Source organism: Homo sapiens, chromosome 7 (assembly GCF_000001405.40).
Source record: "Homo sapiens chromosome 7, GRCh38.p14 Primary Assembly".
NCBI lineage: Eukaryota > Metazoa > Chordata > Mammalia > Primates > Hominidae > Homo > Homo sapiens.
The window spans coordinates 100,230,693-100,253,371 of NC_000007.14; the positions used below are offsets into that span (position 1 = coordinate 100,230,693).

At 51.6% G+C, this 22,679-nt stretch overlaps 1 pseudogene across 4 annotated transcripts in view, besides 3 other annotated features; it reads right to left on the reverse strand.

The window, feature by feature from the left end:
• The window catches only part of CASTOR3P (CASTOR family member 3, pseudogene), a 71,580-nt pseudogene that overhangs the window by 30,040 nt on the left and 18,861 nt on the right, over positions 1-22,679 (reverse strand). For all 4 annotated transcript variants that reach the window (NR_028040.1, NR_028039.1, NR_166147.1 and 1 more), the window contains exon 2: positions 2,912-2,982. The product of NR_028040.1 is annotated as a CASTOR family member 3, pseudogene, transcript variant 4 (transcript). The remainder of the gene's footprint in view (positions 1-2,911; positions 2,983-22,679) is intronic.
• Positions 12,812-13,211: an enhancer, noted in NCBI's record as "active region_26353". NCBI's record gives its function as "activates an Ori minimal core promoter by ATAC-STARR-seq in GM12878 lymphoblastoid cells {active_cell/tissue: GM12878}" and the evidence as "EXISTENCE:reporter gene assay evidence [ECO:0000049][PMID:35858748]".
• Positions 16,074-16,871: an enhancer, noted in NCBI's record as "H3K27ac-H3K4me1 hESC enhancer chr7:99844389-99845186 (GRCh37/hg19 assembly coordinates)". NCBI's record gives its function as "activates a minimal SCP1, AML or CMV promoter by ChIP-STARR-seq in naive H9 embryonic stem cells {active_cell/tissue: H9 hESC(naive)}" and the evidence as "EXISTENCE:reporter gene assay evidence [ECO:0000049][PMID:30033119]".
• Positions 17,670-18,466: an enhancer, noted in NCBI's record as "H3K27ac-H3K4me1 hESC enhancer chr7:99845985-99846781 (GRCh37/hg19 assembly coordinates)". NCBI's record gives its function as "activates a minimal SCP1, AML or CMV promoter by ChIP-STARR-seq in naive H9 embryonic stem cells {active_cell/tissue: H9 hESC(naive)}" and the evidence as "EXISTENCE:reporter gene assay evidence [ECO:0000049][PMID:30033119]".

A 22,679-nucleotide genomic window follows, 5' to 3' on the forward strand; every position in this document is an offset into this window, starting at 1 on the left:
GAGGCAGGAGAATCGCTTGAACCTGGGAGGTGGAGGTTGCAGTGAGCCAAGATCACGCCACTGCACTCCAGCCTGGGTGACAGAGTGAGACTCTGTCTCAAAAAAAAAAAAGAAAAGAAAAAAGAGAAAAAACAAATCCACTCAATTTTTTTTTTCTTGGGCAATAATAGATTTCCAAGCAGCCTAGTTTGCTGACCAGGAAACGCACCCTGGAATGGAAGCCCTTACCCTGAAGTCACAGAGGTAAGGCTGGCTGGCTGGCTAGCCTCCGGCCTTGCTGGGCTAATTGAAACCTGCTTTCCCAGTGGTCCCTGTGTTCCTCAGTGCTGCGCCTGTGGCTGGGAAAGGCTCAGGGAGGGGCAGGGCAAGGCAGTTTCAAAAGTCACAAGGCTCTGGGGAATGGCAGAGTCGAGGGATTGCGGGCAATTCCTTCCCTGGGCCAGCCGAGGGTCTCAGCCTGGGCCCAAGGACCTCTATATGAAGAGAGCTTACTCACCCCCAGGAATTTCCTACTTCACTCCTTGTTCCCTCTCCTGCACACACACACACACACACACACCCCAGGAGACTCTACCCCAACTCAGCCCTAACCCAGCCGAACAACCTTCAGTGGCTCCCCAGTGCCTGAAGAATATGATCCAAACTTTCCCTGCCTACCTCTGTCTTCCCCTTTTTTACGTGCTGGACCTGGCCCTTGCTTCTGCTCCTGTACTTTCTCATTCAGCTCTCCTCTGACATGTTTTCTTCCTTCCCCACAAGGCCAGCAAAAATATCACCTCCTCCAGGAAGTCCTCCATGACCACGTGAGCTCACCAGGAACTTCTGCTTTTGAGCCCCCAGAAAGAGCCATGCTGCAGAAGTCTCCCCATGCTGCTTCTAACCCAAATAAAGTACAGGAGAGGAGTTCAGGAAAAAGTCTAGAGCCAGGCACAGCAGTACACGCCTCTACTCTCAGCTACTCGGGAGGCTGAGGTGGGAGGATTGCTTGAACCCAGGAGTCTGAGGCTGCTATGCACTATGATCACACCTGTGATTAGCCACTGTACTCCAGCCTGGGCAACATAGCAAGAACCTGTTTCTTAAAAAAAAAAAAAAAAAAAAAAAAATTTAAGTGCCTGCATGCCAGGTAGAAACCATGAAGGGAGGGGTGCTTTCCAGGCAGAGAAGCCCATGTGTGTGCAGCCACATGGAGGAATCTTTCCTGATCCCTCCTCCTCCAGGCAAGCCCTGTCCTCCTCTCTCTCTTCCCACACTCTAGTTCCCTGGGGATGCCAAGTGTGTCCCCAGTACTACAAGCTGTGGCTGTACACACATGGGGTTCTCTCTGCCTGGAAAGTGCCCCTCCATTATGTTTTCCACCTGGCAGGGGGCGGGGTGGGGAGGGGCACTTAATTTTAATTTTAATTTTTTTTTAAGAAATAGATTCTCAGGGCCGGGCGCAGTGGCTCACGCCTGTAATCCCAGCACTTTGGGAGGCCGAGGCAGGTGGATCACGAGGTCAGGAGATTGAGACCATCCTGGTTAACACGGTAAAACCCCGTCTCTACTAAAAAATACAAAAAATTAGCCGGGCATGGTGGTGGGCGCCTGTAGTCCCAGCTACTCGGGAGACTGAGGCAGGAGAACAGCGTGAACCTGGGAGGTGTAGCTTGCAGTGAGCTGAGATCGCGCCACTGCACTCTAGCCTGGGTGACAGAGCAAGACTCCGTCTCAAAAAAAAAAAAAAAAAAAAAAAAAGAAATAGGTTCTCAGGCCAGGCGAGGCGGCTCACGCCTGTAATCCCAGCACTTTGGGAGGCTGAGGTGGGTGGATCACCTGAGGTCAGGAGTTCTAGACCAGCCTGGCCAACAGGGTGAATCCCCATCTCTACTAAAAAATACAGAAATTAGCCAGGTGTGGTGGTGGGCACCTGTAATCCCAGCTACTTGGGAGGCTGAGGCAGGAGAATGGCTTGAACCTGGGAGGCGGAGGTTGCAGTGAGCCAAGATCACTGCACTCCAGCCTGGATGACAGAGTGAGACTCCATCTCAAAAAAAAAAATCCAGGTTCTTATTATGTTGCCCAGGCTGGAGTGCAGTGGCTATTCACAGGCGTGATCATTGCACACTACAGTCTCAAACTCCTGGGTTTAAGCAATCCTCCCACCTCAGCCTCCCAAGTAGCTGGGAGTAGAGGCATACACCACCATGCCTGGCTCTTTACTCTTAGCTGGGTTCACTTCAAGTGTTGCTTTAGTTCTGGGAAGTCCTCTTAAACTGTGCCCTTGCCAGCTAGACACTTTTATTTTTTTTATTTTTAAGAGATAGAGTCTCGCTCTGTCTTCCAGCCTGGAAAGCGGTGGTTCAATAACAGCTCACTGCAGCCTCCAACTCCTGGGCTCAAACGATCCTCCTGCCTCGGTCTCTCAGGTAGCTGGGACCACAGGAACATGCCATCATGTCCAGTTAATTTAAAGTAATTTTTTAGTAGAGACGGGGTCTCACTATGGTCTCAAACTCCTGGGCTCAAGTGATCCTCCCACCTTAGCCTCCCAAAGTGTTGAGACTAAAAGCATGAGCCACTGCGCCCGACTGAAGATGTTCTAAAGCACTTTGCAGGTTTCAGTGAAACATGTTCCTTTTCTTCTGGGTTGATCTAATTCTCAGCTGAGTAGTGCCATACCTACTTACTACTCAGGAGTCTTTCCTAGGGCGATCTCAAGAGCAGGAGGGGAGGGGACCCTCCAGAACCCAGGGAGAGAAGGAAATACACTCTGCTGTTTTTCTAGCTGACCAGCAGATGGGGGCAGAAATAAGAAGGTAGGTGGGGGCAGAAATAAGGAGGTGGGTTGGGGACAGAAATAAGGAGGTGGGTAGCCAGCCCTGACTTCGGGGCATGGTCCAGCCGAGCCCCTAGGGAGAGAAGCACTTACCTAGGAATCCTTCCTCATCGACAATGATAGTGTAATCCTCTGGTGTCTCAGTCAGACTGAAGAACTTGCACCTGGATGGATGGACAGACAGACACAGAATATCTCATTAGTCCAGGCAGGTCCCCTGGGGCAGCTGCCCACCCGTGCCCCGGGGATGATGTCTCAGTTTACCCAGAGTTCCAGCCCCAGGCTGCTGGGTGACCGCGGGTAAGTTGTTTATCTCTCCCTTCATGTCCCCCTACTCAGTTCTCACTCAGGAGAGGCACAGAGATGCTGATTGTCCCCACTGTACCCCCGCAATCTTTGGGGACCTCTGAGCCAGTCAGCCCCTATGATTGTGTCCAGGCCTGAGGGCCCGAGATCCCAAGTTTTCTTGGAGGGAAGAAGTGGCCAAAGGGTGGCTCCAGTGTGGGTCAGGCAGAGGAGCCGTCTTTTCCATGGCCCTGCCACTGTAACCTCTAGGTGTCTGTTCCCATCTCCCCTCCCATTGTCTTGGGCTCCTCCTCAGCAACTCTGGAGCTCCAAGTCACAAAAATGCCTAATTCCCACCAGCTGACTGACAGCCCAGCCCTTGGTTAACTTTCCATCCCTAAAGAGAGAGGAATGCGGCCATCCGTGACATTTTTGGGACATGGATCTCTGCCCCACCTCACATCACCTCTGATAGCACCGCTCAGCCGGGGAGGTATGTTGCTCATCTACCCCCAAAACGAGACCATCTGTTCCCCAAAAACAGGGACCAGAACTGTGACCCTGCTGGCCTCAGTCCTGGGCATGGTTTTGGTGCCCAAGTCTGTGTCCAGGCCGCTCTCAGGCTGGGCTTCAAGGCTTTTGGTCCTTGGGTGATGGGGGTCATCACCCCCTCAACCCCCGTGTCCCTGTTCCCCATTTAGCCAGAACCGCACCCCCACTGCACCCTAGAGAGTATTGCAAGCAGAGATGGCAAGTCCAAGCGTGCACAGGCAGAGGCTTGCAGGAAACTGACCCCTGGCCGCTTATCTGGTGTTCCGGCTCTCAAGCACAAAGCCAGGCATGGGCTCTGCATCCCCACCCATTGAGGGGAGCCAGGACAGAAAGAAGCCCACAAGTAACCCAGGTGTATTTGTCTGTTCTCATGCTGCTAATAAACACATACCCGAGACTGGGTAATTTATAAAGGGAAAAGGTTTAATGGACTCATAGTTCCACGTGGCTGGTTGGTGGTTGGCAGGGTTGCGGGGGCGGGGGTGCTCACAATCATGACAGAAGGCAAAGAAGGAGCCAAGGCACGTCTTACATGGCAACAGGCAAGAGAGCATGTGCAGGGGAACTACCTTTATAAAACCATCAGATCTCCTGAGACTTATTCACTGCCACGAGAACAGTATGAGGGAGACCACCCCCATGATTCAATTATCTCCACCTGCCCCCACCCTTGACACGTGGGGATTATTACAATTCAAGGTGAGATTTGGGTGGGCACACAGCCAAACCATATCACCAGGCAAAGGGCAAGTATCACTCTCTCAAATATGCAAATGGAAAAGGGATCTTTGAGTGGACAGTGTTGCAGGGGATGGGGGTGGCTGGTGTATCCATGGGTCGCCCTCCTCCCTGGCCTCCTCTCCTGCCACCTGCCCTGCAGCCCCCTCATCTACAGAACCTCTCCAGCTCCTTTTTAAAACTTATTCCTGAAAATTTTCACAAGGATATGGAGCCACTGGAACTCTCTTATGCTGCTGGTGGGAGTACAAAATGGCCCAGCCCTTCAAACATTCATTTGGCAGTTTCTTTCTTCTTTTTAGAGATAGGGTCTTGCTCTGTCACCCAGTCTGGCGTGCAGTGATGCAATCACAGCTCATGGAGGCCTTGAATGCCTGGGCTCAAGCAATTCCCCTGCCTCAGTCTCCTGAGTAGCTGGAACTACAGGCACACAATACCATGTCCAGCTAAATTTTTTTTTTTTTTTTTGAGACAGAGTCTCTCACCCTGTCACCCAGGCTAGAGTGCAGTGGCATCTCAGCTCACTGCAACCTCCACCTCCCAGGTTCAAGTGATTCTCCTGCCTCAGCTTCCCCAGTAGCTGGGCTTACAGGCGCCCGCCACCACATCTGGCTAATTTTTGTATTTTTAGTGAAGACAAGGTTTCTCCATGTTGGCCAGGCTGGTCTCGAACTCCTGACTTCAGGTGATCCACCCGTCTCAGCATCCCAAAGTGCTGGGATTATAGGCGTGAGCCACCGTGCCCAGACAGTCCAGCTAGTTTTTAAAGTTGTTTTTGTAGAGATGAGGTCTTGCTATGTTGTCTAGGCTGGTCTTGAACTCTTGTCCTTAAGCGATCCTCCCTCTTTGGCTTTCCAAAGTGCTGGGATTACAGGCGTGAGCCACTGCACCCAGCTGGCAATTTCTTATAAAGTTCAGCACACATTGACCACCCAGCCTCAGCTATCCTGCTCCTGGGTATTCATCCACGAGAAGTGAAAACAGGTGCCCGCACAAAGACTTAGATGCGAATACATATTGCCTGTTTGTATTTGCTCTAAATTGGAAACAACCCAAATGTCCTTCCTTCAACTGGAAAGAGGATAAACTAAGGCACATCCACATGAGGAAATACGGGTCAGCAATTAAAAGGAATAAACTACCGATTCATGCATTAACACGGGTAGATCTAAAGTGCATTTTGCTAAGTTAAACAGCCAAGCTCAAAAGATTCTATACTGTATGTTTCTATTCATACAACATTCTGGAAGAGGCCAAACTATAGGGACAAATGATTAGCAGTTATCAGGGGACGGGTAGACACTGACTAGAGAGGGGCACTGGGAAATTCTGGGGGGATGGGCCTCTTGAGTGTGGCGGTGGTTACAAGATCATATAAATTCACATAAATTTAGGCCGGGCACGGTGACTCACGCCTGTAATCCCAGCACTTTGAGAGGCAGAGGTGGGAGGATCACCTGAGGTCAGGAGTTTGAGACCACTTGGCCAACATGGTGAAACCCTGTCTCTACAAAAAAATGCAAAAATTAGCCAGGCGTGGCAGTGGGCACCTGTAATCCCAACTACTGGGGAGGCAGAGGCAGAAGACTCGCTTGAACCCAGGAGGCGGAGGTTGCAATTAGCCAAGATCACGCCACTACACTCCAGCCTGGGTGATTAGATTCAGACTCCATCTCAAAAAAACCTCACAAGATCATATAAATTTGTCAAAACCCAAAGAACTATCTGCTAAAAAGGGGTGAATTTGTGAATTACGCTGTATGTAAATCATACCTTGATAAACTTGAATGTAAAGAAAATGCTTGGTCTGCTGCGGTGGCTCACGCCTGTAATCCCAGCATTTTGGGAGGCTGAGGTGGGCGGATCACTCGAGGTCAAGAGTTTGAGACCAGCCTGGCCAACATGGCAAAACCCCATTTCTACTAAAAATATAAAAATTAGCCCGGCGTGGTGGTGGGCGTCTGTAATCCCAGCCACTTGGAAGGCTGAGGCAGGAGAATTATTTGAACCTGGGAGGTTGCTGTGAGCTGAGATCGTGCCACTGCACTAGAGCCTAGGCAACAGAGCCACTCCATCTCGGGGAAAAAAAAAAAAAAAAATCCTGTGCTAGGGTCATCCATGAGGTGGCCTCTCTCCCCCTGGGAGGGGCGTAACGCATTCTGCTGGAACAACCACCCACGCTCATCAATTTCCCTCCGGCTCTTCAGTTTTCTAATTACGTCTCTGTCCCTGCCTGTCCCATATCCAATTTGCAAGTATTGCCTGGATACGTGAAATCTATAATTGCTTTGAGAACAACAGCAAATTATCACCACAGTAAGTGGCAATCACTGGTCAGGCCTGGACCCTTCCTAGGGACCCCCATGAACTCAGAAAGAGCCCTGGACTCCCACAGTCACCAGACTGCCATGAGCTGGTACTCCCTGGGTGGGGTGGGGCTGCCCAGCTGCCCGAGAGCCCCGGGGAGGCAAACAGACGCGGCCCTTGCTCCCGGCGCCCTCGGCTCTGAGGGACACTCCAGAAATAGACCGCACAAATTATTCCGGAAGGCATAAACACCAGCAGAAGGCAACAGCGGCCTGTGTGTAAACGGAGTATAAATATGTTGTTGAAGTGACCTGTCCCCAGGGGCTGAGCAATTCTGTGGCTCTGCCAGCTAGGGGACATCTCAGAATGTGCACCTCGGCACGGGTGGGCTTCGGGGAGGGCAGATCAGCCGGAGGCACCTGCTGCCGTCGCTCTGGTCACTACCCTCAGGAGTCGGCCCCCAGACTCCTCCCTCTCCTTGACCTCCTTGTTGTTGTTTTTTTTTTTTTTTTTTTTTTTTTGAGATGGAGTCTCGCTCTGTCACCCAGGCTGGAGTGCAGTGGCGCAATCTCGGCTCACTGCAAGCTCCGCCTCCTGGGTTCACGCCATTCTCCTGCCTCAGCCTCCAGAGTAGCTGAGACTACAGGCGCCCACCACCACGCCCGACTAATTTTTTGTATTTTTAGTAGAGACAGGGTTTCATCGTGTTAGCCAGGGTGGTCATAAACTCCTGACCTCATGATCCACCCGGCTCCGCCTCCCAAAGTGCTGGGATTACAGGCATGAGCCACCGCACCCGGCCTTTTTTTTTTTTTTTCTTTTTTGAGACAGGCTCTTGCTCTGTTGCCCAGGCTGGAGTGCAGTGGCATGATCTTGGCTCACTGTGGCCTTGACCTCCTGGGCTCAAGCAATCCTCCTAGCTCAGCCTCCCAACTAGCTTGGACTACAGGCGTGCATTACCCATGCCCAGCCGGCTAATTTTTTATTTTTTGTAGAGACAGGGTCTCACTACGTTGTCCCGACTGGTCTTGCACTTCTGAGCTCAAGTGATCCTTCTGCCTTGGCCTCCCAAAGTGCTGGGATTATAGGAGTGAGTCACTGCGCCCAGCCCACACCACTTCTTAATTCAAGCTACAGGTCCCCCCTTTGCCTTTGGATTACATCTGCTGCATTTCTTGTCTTATCAAGCTTAACCTTCCTATCTTTGCTTCTCGAAGTCATCTCCCTATTGCTGGGCAGTTGGCCATTCCCCAGTCCAAGCACAGCACCCCCTTGCGGGCCATCCTTAGCCTCCCAAGTACCCGGGATTACAGGTGCACACCACCACACCCAGCTAATTTTTTAAATTTTTATAGAGATGGGATCTTGCTATGTTGCCCAGGTGGGTCTTGAACTCCTGGCCTCAAGTGATCCTCCCACCTCCACCTCCCAAAGTGCTGGGATTATGGGTGTGAGCCACTCCACACAGCCCCATGTCTTCTTTACTCGAAGGTCACTCTGAGATCCGTTTTTGCCTCTCCACCACTCCCCACAAAGCAAACTCAAGACTGGACTACCCTTCTGTCTTGTCTCCCTCTTCCACTCCTGGCCTCAACGCACCTGCCTCCACAGTCTCATGCCTCCAACAGTGACGAATGTTCTTTCTTTTTTATTTGAGATGAAGTTTCACGCTTGTTGCCCAGGCTGGAGTGCAGTGGTGCCACATCTTGGCTCACTGCAACCTCTGCCTCTGGGGTTCAAGCGATTCTCCAGCCTCAGCCTCCCAGGTAGCTGGGATTACAGGCGCCCGCCACCACATCCAGCTAATTTTTTGGAGTTTTTAGTAGAGACAGGGTTTCACCATGTTGGCCAGGCTGGTCTCAAACTCCTGACCTCAGAAGATCCACCCGCCTCAGCCTCCCAAAGTGCTGGGATTACAGGCATGACCCACCTCGCCCAGCCTAAATGTTCTTTCATCTACCCAGCATAGCCTCCCAACTTTGTTGGCTGAAGATTTCATGTTCATCCTTTAAGACCCAGTTCAAACATCTCCTCTGGGGTAAAACCTTTCCTGGCCAGAAATGGTGGCTCATACCTGTAATCCCAGAACTTTGGGAGGTGGAGGTGAATGGATCTCTTGAGGTTGGGAGTTCAAGACCAGTCTGGCCAACATGGTGAAACCCTGCCTCTACTAAAAATTAAAAAAAAAAAAACAAAAACCCTGCCTGATCAACACCAGCCACTTCCTTTCCCTCATCTCCCATCATAGAGGTTGTCCTCCTTTGACAGCCTACAGCCCCACACTATGTCTATGAGATGACTTTCAGGCCACTGTGGACAACTGGGCTGGTGGTGCATCACAGCCCTAGGATACAATTCATCTCACAGTCTATGTGAATTATGCCCTTAGAGTTGTGCAGCGCACAACCCATGCAACTGCATGTGACAGTGCCGAGTGCTTCCCACAATCTATTACAAATCATACTTTAAGGGTCTACTTCCCTCAGTAGACCACAGCGCTCAGAAGCAAGGACAGAGGGTCCTCCGTACACACACCTTGTATCTGACACTGGCTGGACATGGAATCAACACTCAAGGATTGCTGAGCGAAAGGATGGCCTGTGGCCACACACTTGCCTTCAAAATCAAAGAAGCCTCAATGAGAAAAAACCCTGTCTGCCCTCATGTGGCATCATCTTGACTTAACCCTCCTCTTGGAGAAGCTAAGGTCTCCAGTTCTAATTCTCTCTCCGCCTTTTCTAATGAGTCATGGCCAGGTGCACACCCCAGATGCCAGGCCCCCGGGGTTTGTGGCCTCTCTGTACTCTGCCTACAAAGAGCTGGAAAGAGGAGCAAATGCCAGAAAGTACCCAGTATGGGTGCTAAGTGCTGTTAAAAAACTCCAGGCGGGAGGCCGGGCGCGGTGGCTCACATCTGTAATCTCAGCACTTCTGGAGGCCAAGGCAGGGGGATCACTTGAGCCTAGGAGTTTGAGACCAGCCTGGGCAACATGGTAAGACTCCATCTCTACAAAAAAATTTAAAAATTACCTGAGCATGGTGGTGTGCCCCTGTAGTCTCAGCTACTCAGGAGGTGGAGGTGGGAGGATCACTTGGGCCTGGGAGGCGGAGGCTGCAGTGAGCCATGATTGCACCACTGCACTCCAGCCTGGGTGACACAGTGAGATCCTGTCTTAAAAAATAAAATAAAAGATGCAGGCTTGATTCCTGCAGGGTCACCATACTCTGTGTCAGCCAGACTCTGCCAAGGTCACCTGCTAGCTTGCCTGGGAACAAGCCAGGACCTTTGGAATTAATAGCCTGGCCTGCTGGGTGCAGTGGCTCATGCCTGTAATCCCAGCACTTTGGGAGGCAGAGGCAGGTGGCTCACCTGAGGTCAGGAGTTCGAGACCAGTCTGGCCAACATGGTGAAACCCCATCTCTACCTCTACTAAAAATACAAAAAATTAGCCAGGCGTGGTGGCGCGCACCTGTAGTCCCAGCTACTCGGGAGGCTGACGCAGAATTGCTTGAACCGGGGAGGTGGAGATTGCAGTGAGCCGAGATCATGCCACTGCACTGCAGACTGGGTAACAGAGCGAGACTCCATCTCAAAAACAAACAAAAAAGAGCCTGGCCAGCGGGGTTTTGAAACAAGCCCAGAGCCTTCACTGCTCAAGTGACCCACCCACCCAAAAAAGAGAGGCTCTGCAAACAGGCCCCAAGACAGGCGTCTTGGATGTTATAGGCCCTGTTTACAAAACATTCTCGGGCCTTACTTAAAGCAGGTCCTTTCTCAGCCCACTTGGGATTACAGCACCAGCCTGGAAGGACAGGGGTGTTTCTTTCAAAGTGTGGCCCATTCTGTCTGGAATGAGGGAGGTTTGGCCACATCTCCTGCAGCCTATCCAAGTGAGGGAATGAAGGGATCAGGGCCTCACCTGCTTCCGGAGACTGCCCACCCCTGCCCCTGCCAGCCAACTTCTGGCTGCCTCCCTGCTGATGTTTTTCTGATGTGGCTAACAGTAGCATTCATTCATTCATTCATTCCTTTAGAGACAGTGTCTTGCTCTGTCACCCAGGCTGGAGTGCACTGGCATGATCATAGTTCACTGCAGCCTCCAACTCCTGGGCTCAAGTGGTCCTCCCACCTCAGCCTCCTGAGTAGCTGGGACTATAGATGCACATCACCATGGCTGGCTAATTTTTAAATGTTTGTGGAGACGGGGTCTTGCTATGTTGCCCAGGCTGGTCTCAAATTCCTGACCTCAAGCGATCCTCCCAAGCCTCGGCCTCCCAAAGTACTGGGATTACAGGTGTAAGCCAGTGCACCCGGCTGACAGGGGCCTTTTAAAACACGCAGTGAGCGGCCGGGCGCGGTGGCTCATGCCTGTAATCCCAGCACTTTGGAAGGCCAAGGCAGGCGGATCACAAGGTCAAGAGATCAAGACCATCCGGGACAACAAGGTGAAACCCCGTCTCTACTAAAAATACAAAAATTAGCTGGGCATGGTGGTGTGCGCCTGCTACTCAGGAGGCTGAGTGCCCAGCTACTCAGGAGGCTGGGGCGGGAGAATCACTTGAATCTGGGAGGCAGGGGTTGCAGTGAGCCAAGATCACGCCAGCCACTGCACTCCAGCTTGGAGACAGAGCAAGATTCCATCTCAAAAAAAAAAAAAAAAAAAAAAAGGCAGTGAGTGATAGAAGTGTTTCGGGGCCACAGTTCATGGAGCTTTTCTTCCCAGAGGAAAATCGGGGGGAGGGTGAATGCCCGGCTTTGTTCTGCTAACCAGCTGCAGCTTTTTCATCTGTTTCTCCTGGGTTTTCAATGGGTCTCTCGTGTTATTTACATTTCATTTCTCCTGTCTTTAGCAACTAGAAGCTGCCCTTTCAAGTTTTACTTAGAAAAAAGCCCTTAATTGGTTCTGCAACTGGAAGGGCGATCCTGAACAGGAGTTATTTTGCCTTAAGATAGAAAATAAGGCCGGGTGCGGTGGCTCATGCTTGTAATCCCAGCCCTTGGGGAGGCCGAGGTGAGTGGATCACGAGGTCAGGAGATCGAGACCACCCTGGCTAACACGGTGAAACCGTGTCTCTACTGAAAAAAAAAATACAAAAAATTAGCTGGGCGCGGTGGCGGGTGCCTGTAGTCCCAGCTACTCGGGAGGCTGAGGCAGGAGAATGGCGTGAGCACGGGAGGTGGAGCTTGCAGTGAGCTGAGATCGCGCCACTGCACTCCAGCCTGGGCGACAGAGTGAGACTCCATCTCAAAAAAAGAAAAAAAAAGATAGAAAATAAAATGTGCTTGTGTCACGGGCGACCAGGCTGAATCCAATCAGACAGCGTGGGTGATGGTGTTTGGCAAATTCCAGGGTGATTATGGAGAGGCAGGGCTACCAAAGGGGATGGATAGGGCAGAAGAAATCACAAAGATCTGGGGAAAGCCCCAGGAACCCAGGCTCCCCCCAAGGAGATCTCAGTCCTTGTAGACAAGAGTATACCTTCTGCTTGTCAGGTCTTGGTGCAAAATGATCACTGATTTTGGATCTCCCCAATTCTCACGGTCCCCAGTCCAACTTCCTTTCACCCCTACCAGCCTATCACCTCCCCAGCCATGGCGATATCCATTATAGTACTGAGATTAATCACTTCCATGTCTGTCTGCCTTTTTTTTTTTTTTTTTTTTTTGAGATGGAGTCTCACTCTGTTGCCCAGGCTGGAGTGCAGTGGTGCGATCTCGGCTCACTGCAACTTCTGCCTCCCATGTTCAAGTGATTCTCCTGCCTCAGCTCCCCGAGTAGCCGGGATTACAGGTGTGTGCCACCATGCCCCGCTAATTTTTGCATTTTTAGTAGAGATGGGGTTTCGCCATGTTGGCCAGGCTGGTCTCCAACTCCTGACCTCAGGTGATCCACCCACCTCAGCCTCCCAAAGTGCTGGGATTACAGGTGTGAGCCACCGTGCCCCGCCCCATTTCTGTCTTTGCGAGCAAGAGACAAGGCTGCATCTCCTCCTCCAGGGCCGCCATGCCCAGCACAGGGCTTGGTACGAGGTCTGTAATCAGTGTGACCTTAATGAATGTGCTGTAGAATGATTCCCATTTCACAGACGGGAAAACCGAAGCTTAGTTGGGTTAAAGGAGTTAGCTGCCTGGGGTCTGCCGAGCCGGGGCTGAGCTGCCTGTACGGGTTGGGGACTTCCTGAAGGCAGGGGGGACTTGTAGCATACGCCCCATGACTCAGCGTTTCCATTCTGAGACATGCACCCTTTACAGATACGTAACGGGAGACACAGACAAGAGGATCCGTGACAGCCTGTTCTCAGTAACAAAAACCTGGCCACAGCCCAGATGCCCATCAGCAGGAGAGGACATGAAGAATGGCAGAATATTACCCAGCAGGCAACATGAACCATCCACAGTGTTAAGCAAAGAGATAAACAAGTATCAGCAATGTCACAGCACTGTGGGTTGAAAAACAAGTCCCCAGACATTGTGTATGGCAGGGTACACTTTTTACAGAGTTACAACTACTTATGATTTAAAAAAAAAACAAAAACACCTGGCCAGGCACAGTGGTTCATGCCTGTAATCCCAGCACTTTGGGGAGGCCAAGGCAAGCAGATCACTTGAGGTCAGGAGTTCGAGGCCAGCCTGGCCAACATGGTGAAAACCCATCTCTACTAAAAATACAAAAATTAGCCTGGCGTAGTGGCACATGCCTGTAATCCTAGCTACCTGGGGGACTGAAGCACGAGAATCGCTTGAACCTGGGAGTTCGAGGCTGCAGTGTAGATCACACCACTGCACTCCGGACTAGTGAGACTCTGTCTCAAAAAAAAAAAAAGGCAATGCTTTGGAGTTGGCTGTTCGATCCTGTGGTCTTGGGCATATTTACACAGCTCCTGAGCCTGTTCCCCAAACTTCCAAGAGGGGTACATACTGTCTGCCTTCAGGAACCAGGGTGGGGAATCAATGTCCCTTTGTAGATAAAATCACCAGGTGACCAGCCTGGGCAACACAGTGAGACCCTGCCTCTACCAAAAAAAAAATCTAAAAAAAAATATTAACAGGGCCTGGTAGCATGCACCTGTAGTCCCAGCTACTCAGGAGGCTGAGGAAGGAGGATTGCTCAAGCCCAGGAGGTCGAGGCTGCAGTGATGAGCTGTGATTGCACCACTGCACTTCGGCCTAGGTGACAGCGTAAGACCTTGTCTCAAAAAATAAAAAATAAAATTAAAAAAGCACCAGGCGGCCGGGCGCGGTGGCTCATGCCTGTAATCCCAGCACTTTGGGAGGCCGAGGGGATGGTTCACCTGAGGTCAGGAGTTTGAGACCAACCTGGCCAACATGGTAAAACCCCGTCTCTACTAAAAATACAAAAAAAAATTAGCCGGGCGTGGTGGCAGGCACCTGTAATCCCAGCTACTCAGGAGGCTGAGGTGGGAGAATTGCTTGAATCTGGGAGGCGGAGGTTGCAGTGAGCCGAGATCGCGCCACTGCACTCCAGCCTGGGTGACAGAGCGAGATTCTGTCTCCAAAAAAAAAAAAAGCACCAGGCATGCTGTGGCTGCTTTCATAAACAGCATCCATTTCTGGTTTTGGTTAATGGCACGACACTTCCCTGGTCTTTTCCCGACATAACCAGAAGCACATTCAACCTTCTGTGTTCCTTACACCAGAGCTGAGAAAGCACACCGAGACACACAATCTCTGACCTTTCCCAGCATGCAGACAGTTTGTGTCAACATGCTGAAGACCACAATGGAAATATGTGACCCTAAAGTAACCTGCAGTCCTGCCCTGACACTATGAATTGGGACGCAACATTCTCTGGAGGCCTTGCTATTAAAGGACTTTGGGGACACGCTGGGGCATGGGCTGGAGTTGTTGTCCTGTCACATGGTAACTCTGGGAGTGGCCCTGGTTCCCGGTCACACTCATCTCCTGCGGCCACCACCACTCCAACCCTACCGTGTACTGCTGGCCTGTGGGGCTGGGTGTTCCTGGGGGCCCCTCGGCTGGCCCCATCCTTAGATGACCTCTGCCCAAACTCACCCTCAGCAAAGACATGCAGCTCAGAAATCCCCCTTCCTGCCACCGGGGCCCATCTACCCCTTGCTGGGTCAGCTTAACCTTCCCTCCCCCAGACCTCTTCCACCCCTGCCCCTCTGCCTTGCTCAGCACCCCAACACACACCCCAGATTTCCTAAGACACAGACCAACTGGGAAGGGCACCCTCTCAGAAAGTCTCTGATCATTCGCCCATCTTTTTTTTTTTTTTGAGATAAAGTCTTGCTCTGTTGCCCAGGCTGGAGTGCAGTGATGCAGTCATAGCTCACTGCAGCAGCCTCAGACTCCTGGGCTCAAGTGATCCTCCCAACTCAGCCTCCCAAGTTGCTGCAACTACAGGTACACACCACCATGCCTGGCTAATTTTTTTTTTTTTTTGAGACGCAGTCTTGCTCTGTTGCCCAGGCTGGAGCGCAGTGGCATGATCTCGGCTCACTGCAAGCTCTGCCTCCCAGGTTCACGCCATTCTCCTGCCTCAGCCTCCCAAGTAGCTGTGACTACAGGTGCCTGCCACCATGCCTGGCTAATTTTTTTGTATTTTTAGTAGAGACAGGGTTTCACCGTGTTAGCCAGGATGGTCTCAATCTCCTGACCTCATGATCCGCCCGCCTCGGTCTCCCAAAGTGCTGGGATTACAAGCGTGAGCCACCGTGCCCGGCCTTTTTTTTTTTTCATTTTTTTGTAAAGACAGGGTCTCACTATATTGCTCAAACTGGTCTCGAACTCCTGGCCTCGAGTGATCCTCCCGCCTCAGCCTCCCAAAGTGCTGGGGTTACATGTGAGCCACTGTGTCAGCCACTGTGTCTGGCCTGTCCACCCATCTGATCCCTTCTCTCTGGCCTCAGGAAAACAGCACTCTGGCAAACTCCTTCCTCCTTTCATGACTCTCCCAAGCACCTCCCTGAGCTGTCGGTTTCATACTTGGCTTCTTAGTCTTAGCAATAAATAGGATCAAGTTTCTTCTGTCCTAAAAAAAAAGTCTTCCTTCATCCCCATCTCCTCCTGAGGCCACCTCCTTACCCCGACCACCTGCCATTGGGCCACGTCCTCAAGCCCTCCAGGGCATCCCGCTCCGTTCATCAGTGACCTCCCTGAGCCCAGCCCGATGACGTCTTCCCTTGTGCCTCCCTGCCCATGACCTGTTGCCTGGACCCACATGGCTGGCCAAGGCCTCCCTGGAATCTGCAATCTCCCGCACGGTCTCCTCTGACGTCTTGGACACTGACAGTCCTCTGCTTCCTGTGGTGGCTGCTCTTCTCCTCCCCAGCGTAGGCAGCTCTCAAGGGGTCGTCTCTCATCTCCTATTACACCCTCTCCCCAGATGCTCACTCCTGGGCTTCCAACCACCATGGTCCAGGCTCTCCCTGCAGACTTGCACTTCTCTCCCTGCACCCTGGCTTCAACCACCTTGGTTGATTCTTTTTTTTTTTTTTCTTGGAGACGGAGTCTTGCTTTGTTGCCTAGGCTGGAGTGCAGTGACGCAATCTCGGCTCACCGCAACCTCTGCCTACCGGGTTCAAGCAATTCTCCTGCCTCCGCCTCCCAAGTAGCTGGGATTACAGGCGCCTGCCACCATGCCCAGCTAATTTTTGTATTTTTTAGTAGAGATGGGGTTTCACTATGTTAACCAGGCTGGTCTCGAACTCCTGATCTCAAGTGATCCAACCGCCTCAGCCCCCCAAAATGCTGGGATTACAGGCATGAACCACCACACCCGGGCGGTTGATTCATTTGTCCCATCAACTCTCTGACATAGCTGTTGCTGCCCATTTGACAGATGAGGCAACTGAGGCTTAGAGAGGCTGAGCCACCACCTTACAGATGACCCAGGTCGCAGCTGGTCCCCTCACGCTGCCAGAGTTGTTGACATGTGCCCTCAGCCTGGTGGGGTGAAAGAGAATTGCACACCAGCCACTGACTCTCAAAATCCATTGTTCCCCCCACCACCCAACCCCGGCCTTGGCCTGGAGCCAAGCACCAGGGCAGAGCTGAGGCCCAGGGTGGTCCCCGATCTGGGCCGAGAAGCTGAGTAGCTGAGTCATCTCTGAGAAGAACACTCCCATCTTCAATTGCTGCTGCTGCCTGTTGTGGATGGCCCGGCTGACACAGGTAACTTGATCTGTTTACTCTGGGATTCCTAAGCCCGCAGAGTCAGGCCCTCACACGGGGCCTCTCCCTGGGCATCCTGGGCGAGGAGCCCTGGCCCAGCCAGAGCCCTGTTCCAGCAACAGACCTGAAACCCCAAGGCAGAGGGGGAAGGAGGGTGCAGCAGGGGAGAGACACTTCCAGGTAAACTTGCCTGGCAAAACCTTTTCTGAGATGTCTGATTTATGAACCAGCTAAAGTAGCAGAGAAAAGAGAATTACAAGTGTTTTTTTTTTTTTTAAATCTGTGGCACAGTTTACCACCAGTTCACCAGCAAATAAGAAAGGGGGGTGCCAGGCATGGTGGCTCACACCTGCAATCCCAGCACTTTGGGAGGCAGAGGCGGGTGGATCACTTGAGACCAGGAGTTCGAGACCAGCCTGGGCAACATGGTGAAACCCTGTCTCTACTAAAAATACCAAAATTAGCTGGGCGTGGTGGCAGGTGCCTGTAATCTCAGCTACTCCGGAGACTGAAGCAGGAGAATCGCTTGACCCCAGGAGGCAGAGGTTGCAGTGAGCTGAGATCATGCCACTGCACTCCAGCCTGGGTGACACAGCGAGACTCTGTCTTAAAAAAAAATCTTTTCGTGTAGAGACAGGGTCTAACTATGTTGCTGAGGCTGGTCTTGAATTCCTGGCCTCAAGCCATCCTCCCACCTTTGCCTCCCGAAGGGTTAGGATTACAGGATTGAGCCACCATACAGGGACCTATAGTCCCTTGATTAGCATCTTAAGGGGAAAGAATTTTAGCATGGAATAGATCATCTTTAAACAAAAACCCAGGATCAGAGAAGGGACGGGATCTGCCAGAGGTCACACCTTGCACGAGCCAGGACCAGAACTGGGAAGACCTTTCACCTCCAGCAGTGACCCATCCCCCTGACCCCCACCCAGACTCTTCCTGGTGTCCACCTGCTGTGTGCCACTCGATTCACCAAGCCCTCTTTGACTGACCCCTTGGGGACCTCAAATCCAGCCTTTTTCATCCCTGCTGTCATCTCACAAGCCTCTTCCTGGGTCTCCTGAGACCCTGTCCATCCACGCTGTACAGTACAGGCAAAGGCACTTCTCAAAGCACAAATGTGATGACCTCGCTCCTTGGGTCAAGCACCTCCCGTGGCTCCCACTGTCTCCATGATAACACCAAGGGCCCCAGGATGGCTTCCAGCTCCGTGACTTGGGCTGTTTCTGTCCAGCCCCCATGGGGCCACTGCTGGGCGCCTCCTCGTTCGTTAGTGTGCCGTATCCTCCCCCGGGACCCTCATTCCACTCCCCAGCCTTCAGGTCTCAGGGTGGACACCTTCACGAACCATGCTCCACTACGTCCCCTCCTCAACACTACCCACACCTCCCCTCCAACCGTCAGTGCCTACTTAGGGAGGTGTCTGGCCATTAGATCACTGCTGAAGTTTACCAACTCCACCCTGGCCTGGGCTGCTGAGTGGGCAGAGACCAAGGAGGCTTTGTCACTGCTACCCCAGCTCCCAGTTCTGGGCGAGGCTTGTAGTATTTGCTGATTGACTCTGCACCTGTCTTGGGTGCCAGAGGCCGCTCCTGGCCTGGGGTGGGGTGGGTGGGGGCACTGGGAGCTGGACAGGAGGGTTGTGCACCAGGCAGACAGAGCATCCCCTGCTCACTATGGAACCTTGGCCCACTCCTTGTCCTGGCTTCAGTTTCTCCAGCTGTACAGTGAGATGACTGGCGTGGGCAATCCCTGCAGTCCCTCCAGGGGTCACGGTCCCATGCTTCCCTCATATCCAATTATGGAGAATGTGATAAAGGCCACTGTGTCTCCCACCACCAGGCAGGCAGGGCATCTTCATGGGCTGAGGACCTACAGATGCTCACACCTTCCAGCTCACCCAACTATAGTGTGGCTGGTGGTTAGGTGCATGGGGATTTTCTTTTCCTTTTTTTTTTTTTTTCCCAGACAGGTTCGTGCTCTGTCACCCAGGCTGGAATGCAACGGCACCAATCACAGTTCACTGCAGCCTCTAACTCCTGGGCTTACGTGATCCTCCTGCCCGAGTAGCTGGGACTATAGGTGCGTGACACCACACTCAACTAATTTCTTATTTTATTATTTATTTCTGAGACTGGGTCTCACTCTGTCACCCAGGCTGGAGTACGGTGGCACGATCTCAGCTCCCCACAACCTCTGCCTCCCGCATTCAAGTGATTCTCCTGCCTCAGCCTCCCGAGTAGCTGGGATTACAAGCACTCACCACCATGCCTGGCTAATTTTTGTACTTTTAGTAGAGACGGGATTTCACCACGTTGGCCAGGCTGGTCTCAAACTCCTGACCTCAAGCAATCCACCCGCCTTGGCCTCCCAAAGTGCTAGGATTATGGGTGTGAGCCACCGCACCCAGCCTAATTTTTTATTTTTTGTAGAGACAGGGTCTCACTATGTTGCACAAGCTGGTCTTGAACTCCTGGCTCAAGAGATCTTCCTGCCTCGGACTTCCAAATTGCTGGGATTGCAGGTATAAGCCACTGCACCTAGTCAAAACATGTTTATTTATTTATTTATTTATTTAATTTTTTTTAAGATGGAGTCTCGCTCTGTCGCCCAGGCTGGAGTGCAGTGGCGCCATCTTGGCTCACTGCAAGCTCCACCTCCCGGGTTCACTCCATTCTCCTGCCTCAGCCTCCCGAGTAGCTGGGACTACAGGCGCCCGCCACCATAGAGAAGGGGTTTCACTGTGTTAGCCAGGATGGTCTCCATCTCCTGACCTTGTGATCTGCCCGCCTCGGCCTCCCAAAATGCTGGGATTACAGGCGTGAGCCACCGCGCCTGGCACCAAAACATGTTTTTAATAAGATAAAATCTGAGCTCGGGTCATGGTTTCTTATAGATATGTATTTTTTTTTAACCCCAAACTCGGTTTTTACAATTGCGGCATAACTTACTATAACAAAATGTACAGATTTTCAGGTGGGCAATTAGATGACTTTTGGCAAGTGTATATCCCCCATTTAACCAGCACCCCGATAAGTATATTGGACATTCCCATCATTGCAGAAAGTGTTCCGTGCTCCTTTCCCAACAACTGGAGGCAGCCACTGCTCTAGTCTCTAGTGCCGTGGATTCACTGTGTCTGTTTTGCGCTTCAAATCCATGGAAACACACACATTGTGTCCTATTTTCTGCCTGGTTTATTTTGCTCAATATATTATTTTTGAGATTAATCCAGGCTGGGTGCAGTGGTTCATGCCCATACCCAACATTTTGGGAGGCTGGGGCGGGAGGATTGCTTGAAGCCAGGAGTTCAAGACCAGCCTGGGCAACATAGTGAGATCCCATCTCTACAGAAAAAAAAAATAGGTGGACACAGTGGTTAGTCTCAGCTACTCAGGTGGCTGAGTTGGGAGGATTGCCTGAGCCTGGGTGGTAGAGGCTGCGGTGAGCTATGATTGCGCCACTGCACTCCAGCCTGGGTGACAGAGCAAGACTCCATCTCAAAAACAAAACAAAAATTACCCAGGCATGGTGGCATGCTCCTGTAGTCCCAGCTATTTGGGAGGCTGAGGCAGGAGGACTGCTTGAGCCCAGGAGGTCCAGGCTGCAGTGAGCTATAACTGCACTACTGCACTCCAGCCTGGGCAAAGCAAGACCCTGTCTCAATTAAAAAAAAAAAAAAAAAAAAAAAAAAGGCCAGGCATGGTGGCTCACGCCTGTAATCCCAGCACTTTGGGAGGCTGAGATGGGCGAATCACGAGGTCAAGAGATCGAGACCACCCTGGCTAACATGGTGAAACCCCGTCTCTAGTAAAAATACAAAAAAAATACCCGGGTGTGGTGGCGGGCACCTGTAGTCTCAGCTACTCGGGAGGCTGAGGCAGGAGAATGGCATGAACCTGGGAGGCAGAGCTTGCAGTGAGCCGAGATAGCGCCACTGCACTCCAGCCTGGGTGACAGAGCAAGACTCCGTCTCAAAAAAAAAAAAAAGAAAAAGAAAAAAAGGAAAATTCCCTCCAGTGTTATGGCTGAATGCCCTAATATCCTACAGTAATAGAAACACAGAATATCTTCTGCATTTTGAAATGCAATGTGGAATGAAAAAAAAAAAAAAAGCATGCCTCAGAAGATCGCAGGCTGCCAGGTATCTTTTCCATACATATAAATGGGATGAAAGCCTTTGCAAAAATCAAGGGAAAGATAAATGTGGGCAGAGAGCAGTTACCATCAATGTCATGGTCGGTGTGGGGGGCAGTGTTATTCAAATGATAAACAAACATAAAGTAAAAGCAGGATCAATAAGTATGTCACGAACCAAAAATTCTGAGTCATCAAATTCTGCACGCCTGAGGTCCATTTAAAAAAAGGAGCCTGGGCCGGGTGCGGTGGTTCACGCCTGTAATCCCAGCAATCTGGGAGGCCGAGGTGGGCAGATCATGAGGTCAGGAGATCAAGACCATCCTGGCTAACATGGTGAAACCCCAACTCTACTAAAAACACAAAAAATTAGCTGGGCGTGGTGGCGGGCTCCTGTAGTCCCAGCTACTCAGGAGGCTGAGGCAGGAGAATGGCGTGAGCCCAGGAGGTGGAGCTTGCAATGAGCCGAGATCGTGCCACTGCACTCCAGCCTGGGTGACAGAGTGAGACTCCGTCTCAAAAAAAAAAAAAAAAAAAAAAGCCGGGTGTGGTGGCGGGCACTTGTAATCCCAGCTACTTGGGAGGCTGAGGCAGGAGAATTGCTTGAACCCGGGAGGCAGAGGTTGCAGCGATCCGAGATGGCACCACTGAACTCCAGCCTGGGTGACAGAACGAGACTCCGTCTCAAAAAAGAAAAAAAAAAAAGAAGTGGCCCGTGACCTCGGCCATCTCTGAACAACAGATGAGCAATGAGCAATGAAAGCCAGAGGCCAAGAGTGAGAACAGTTTAATATCAATTTTTGTAAAATATTATTAAAAAAAAAAAAAAGGCCAGGCGCAGTGACTCACGCCTGTAATTCCAGCACTTTGGGAGGCCAAAGCGGGTGTATCACTTGAGTTCAAGAGATCAAGACCAGCCTAGCCAACATGGCAAAACCCTGTCTCTACTAAAAATACAAAAATTGGCCAGCTGTGTGGTGCATGTCTATAATCCCAGCTACTCAGGAGGCTGAGGTGGGAAAATTGCCTGAACCTAGGAGGTGGAGGTTGCAGTGAGCCAATATCACGCCACTGCACTCTAGCCTAGGTGACAGAGCAAGACTCTGTCTCGGAAAAAAATAATTAAATTAAAAGAAAAAAAGAAAACCAGACAGAACCTTCTCACTGCTCAGTCTCTGTCTTCCCCAGCCACTGTGAAAGGGGCCTGACTCCCCATGGGGGTGATGAACAGGCTCTCGGGAGACCAGAGGCATGGCCTTCCTGGATCACACAAATTGCCTGAATTGCTCTCCCTTGGGCCACCTGTCCCTGCCCTCTGCGGGAGAAAGGCCCAGACTGCAGGAGAATCTGCCCTCCCAACAGATGTGTGTGTTTGAGCGACTTAAGAACCTTCCTTCTCCTATAGGATTTAGGGGTCCTGGCATCTTTTTTTTTTTTTCTTTTTGAGACAGGGTCTCACTCTGTTGCCCAGGCTGGAGGCGTGATCTTGGCTCACTGCAACCTCCACCTCCCAGGTTGAAGCAATTCTCCTGCCTCAGCCTCCCGAGTAGCTGAGATTACAGGCTCCTGCCACCACGCCCAGGTAATTTTTGTATTTTTAGTAGAGATGGGGTTTCACCATGTTGGCCAAGCTGGTCTTGAACTCCTGACCTCAAGTGATCTGCCCACCTTGGCCTCCCAAAGT